This window comes from Homo sapiens, chromosome 1, assembly GCF_000001405.40.
Source record: "Homo sapiens chromosome 1, GRCh38.p14 Primary Assembly".
NCBI classification, from domain to species: Eukaryota; Metazoa; Chordata; class Mammalia; order Primates; family Hominidae; genus Homo; species Homo sapiens.
This window is the reverse complement of record NC_000001.11, coordinates 76,811,042-76,815,213: the sequence shown is the minus strand read 5'-3', so window position 1 is coordinate 76,815,213 and position 4,172 is coordinate 76,811,042.

Below are 4,172 nucleotides of genomic sequence, written 5' to 3'. Positions count from 1 at the left end.
CCAGAGGATTAGAGAGTTGGAAGTGACCTTGAGGATTATCCAATCAAATCGCCTTCCTAATCTATGAATTTTCTCAATAGGATTTCAGACATGAAGACATCTCACTTCCTTTTCCCCCCTCCAGTCTCTTTTTTTGATAGAGAAGCTCTAACCTGACTGAGCAAAATGCCTGTGTTCCAAAAGGTCTTTCTATTCTAAAGGTGAGCAAAATGCAATGACAAGATACCAGGGATGAATAGCCCTGCACTGTCTGAAAGGGACACCTAAGGACAAAACGCAGGTGTCTCTCTCCAAATTCCAGTGTGCCCACTGATTATGGCAGAAAAGGAAAATTGGAGCTGATTATAACATAGTGGGGGTCCTGGACCTCAATTTCATGGCTTTCCTCAATATAGATATTAACAATTTGGCAAAGTTATTGGCCAATTGACTCAAAGAATAAGCATTAATAAAGGAATTCAACCTGAACAATGTGCTATTTTATGGCTAGTACATGTAGGTTCACTGGTATGAATTTACTGTGCTTATTTAGTGCCCTCTTTAAGATGAAAAATGATGCCGGCTCAGCGTTAATAGCATCTTTTGACGCTGAGTAAGTGTTCCCATGGATTGAATGGTAGTTGCTCCTTCCTCAGATGGAGATTGAAAACTTTATCTTGAATATCTTGCACTGGCGAAAGCATTCCTTGTATTTGTTAGTACCAGAGTACATACTAATAGAACATGCACTACCAAGGATACCTGGACTCTGTGGGCTCACTGGTCAAGGACGTCCTTTTCACAGAGCCTTTGTCAGTTGCCAACAAGCTGGTATAAAGGGATCTGCTAACTAACTCATATTTCAATTTACAGGTCAGCTCTTGTAATATTCACTATCAGAGGGCATATTTTGCTTTTCCATTCTGTAGCTTTCTACCTCTTTGAGCCTTAAAATCCTACCATCAAGAAAAATGACAGATTTATGGAGACATTCTGGTTATAAAATTATTCAGAATTCCCCTAGAGATCCTGAAAGTGATGGAGAAAATGCTATAGAAATAATCCAAGAAATGTAGGGAGCACAAGATATTGATGATTCCTGGGGCTCAGATTCCCTGTCTAGAAAATCAGGGAGTCCTAAAGTATCTTTTATTTAGCTCTAATATCTCACAAATTTATAATTTCTTCACTCCTAGGAATAGATTCTTAGAAAAATCTTCCTATTCAGGCACACATTATGTTTTTCATTATCTTATGTATAAGATAGTGTACACTGGGCATGGTGTTGGGCAGAAAATAGCATTGGATTAGGACTCAGGAAGCAGATTACAGCTTTGGTCAATGACAGCTGTATGGCCTTGAGTAAATCACTTCACTTCTTTGAATCTTAATTCATTCATTTTATAAAATAAAAACATTGCATTAAATTCTATGTTTTTGTCTTAGTCCTAAAAATCTAAGGTCATGTAGACTATTGGATTTTTGTAATATGTAATGTTATGAAAATGAAACAGCAACATAGAATTGTTATTTTGATTTCTTCCTAGTAAGTTCATTTTCCTTTAAATAGAAAAAGAGTTAGTCCATGGGGCTCTCATGCTGAGGAGTGAGGGTGGAATAATAGACAAAACAATGCTTTCCCGACTGGTATCCATAGACTCCTGAGATGTCATAAATGTAATCTCAGGGGTCTTCAAATCCCTAAGTCTGAGAAATGCTGGTGTTCAGGCACCAAACCAAACAGCACGAACGAGTTCAGAACATACCACCCCCAAATACACTGCCCTGACATATTGATGATTTTGAGTTGAAAGCGCTTGAAAAACAGCAGATGCAAGAAGGACACTTGGAATTTTCTTTTTCTTCCTGAAATCAGGAGATGAAACGACTTTGTGAAGTATCCCTTCCCTATATCAGAAAGAATGAAACATTCTTATCACTAAGAATGGAAAGCTGAGGCTGACAGAAATCTATACAAAACAAGCTTTATCAAAGGAACCTTTGTCTTCCTAGTTACTTCTTCAAGATTAACTACCCTAGCCCAGCTCCCTTTGCCTTATCATGTTTCTCAATTTACTACTCTCTGTCCAACTTAGTATATAAGGTTTCAACTCTAACTGCTTCTTTGGGTCTTCATTTTTCTTGTGAAACTCTCACGAACATGTAGAAAAAAAAAAGGAAACTTGTATACTTTTCTCCAGTTATTCTGTCTTATGTTAAATTCTTAAGCCCAGCTAGAGATTCTAACAGAATAAAGGTGAAATATTTCCTCTCCTATAAAGACCTAGAATTGGAAGTGGATGGGTGCTAGGTAGAGTTGGGTGGAAGGTTGAGAATAAAAGGGTGTAGTCATTAGGGGCTTGAAAGTAAGTGGAGTTGTGTCCAAAATGAGCAATTGGAGGAGAGTTTACTAAAAAGCCTGTGTACAATGTTGCAGAGTGTAGGAAAACCATAAAGGGCGGTACAGTGCCCAGACACCATTAATGCCGCTAAATGAGCAAGGGTGGAGGAAGGAGCCATCCCCAGAGTAGAAACAGAGAAGAAGCTGTGACCTTTAGCTGAAGGCCATGGCCAGTCCATGGGAGGGGCTGCGGAAATATATCACCTTCAGCCTCCTTCCTGCCTCCAGTCTCCTGCGAGGCTCCTCTTTGACTGAAGTCAACCAGGGCTGGGGAGACTGCTGCTACAGGCAGACAGATCAGCATTTGAAGGCAGAGAACAAGAAGGCGAAGCAAAAGGAAGACATCCAGCTCAAGGCGTTAGAAAAAAGAGATTGGAAAAAAGAGTTTGGAATAAGTCCCTTTTCAAAGGAGGACTCCAATATTCAGCCTCGTCTTTACTGAAGAGGCTTTGCTTAATGTGATTCTGTTTTATAACGTCTCATAAATTAACATGCCTCGGCATTCCTTCTTTCCCAAAGATGTGTTGATTTGATTAGATGGATATGTCTTAAGGCTTTAAATTTGGAGCTAAAATCTAGAGGAATGTGATAGTTTCTTAAAATTTATACTTTCCCCTACAAACTGAGAGAAAAGGAAGAAATAAAAATTTTCTGGATTTAGGGCTGTAGGAAAATGAAATAAAAAGCATGAAAAGATGACAGGATTTCATTTTAATTATTAGCTATTATTAATGATGCCATTTTATTTTACAATGCCTTTTCTAAATTACTATCTTAGTCTCATCTTTAAAACAACCTTTGGAAGTTTTTTCCCCCCCACTTTATAGATGAAGAGAATGAGGCCCAAAGAGATGGAGCCATTTCCTGAGGTCACCTTACTGGTAAATAGAGCTCATCCTAGAGTTGATTCCACCACACTGCTCACTACTTCAAAAATATTTAATGCCAGATTCCCTGAGGAGGAATGCTAGATTGCTAATTTATTCATCTCTTACCTTTTCTTTTTGTCAATGGAAAATATGACAATTTTATTTGCAACCTAATGGACTATTCTTTTTTTTGAGAATTGAGTTTAAATGATACCATCCACCACCTAGCCAGATGATGTATGGCTTCAGGAAACAAAATTAAAAGTTAAAGCACTTAAGCATATAGTTTATTTCTCTTTTGCATTTTTAACAGAACCGGAATATAGTATATTAACCAGCACCTGTTTTCTGTTTGCAAAATACTATATTTAACTTCTTTTCTTTAATTGAACAAGATTTCATGTCAAATTCAGATTCTGCAGATGAATTATTTAGAAACAAAATGTCAAGTTTCTTGTTCACAAATCTAATTTATTTTTGACCTCAGAGAATTCCCCAGATCTAATGAAACTGTTAAATAGAGGAATGAGGAGAATCTGGCTGCTATGAGGCAGTTTTCTTCCTCTTTATGTATTTTTATGGTATCTATTTTGCAATTACTAAATGGTGGTCTCAAGGATACCCATCAGTCATGCCTAATTAGGGACCATAAATGGATCTTCAGTAAATATTTTATTAAAAATGAGATTTCCAAGTAATAGAAAAATGTTAAACCCAAACTATAATGACAAGTGCTTTATAAAAATATTACAGAGAAATGGGGGGAAATGAACAATATGTTATGTTGTCCCAATTTTAATTAGACTCACAGAATGTTAAAATGGGAAGAGCACTCAGACAGAAAGTGGCTTGGAGGTGGAGAACCAAACATCCATTTAAATAAATGTGCTTCATTTAATACTCACAACATCACTTGAACATTG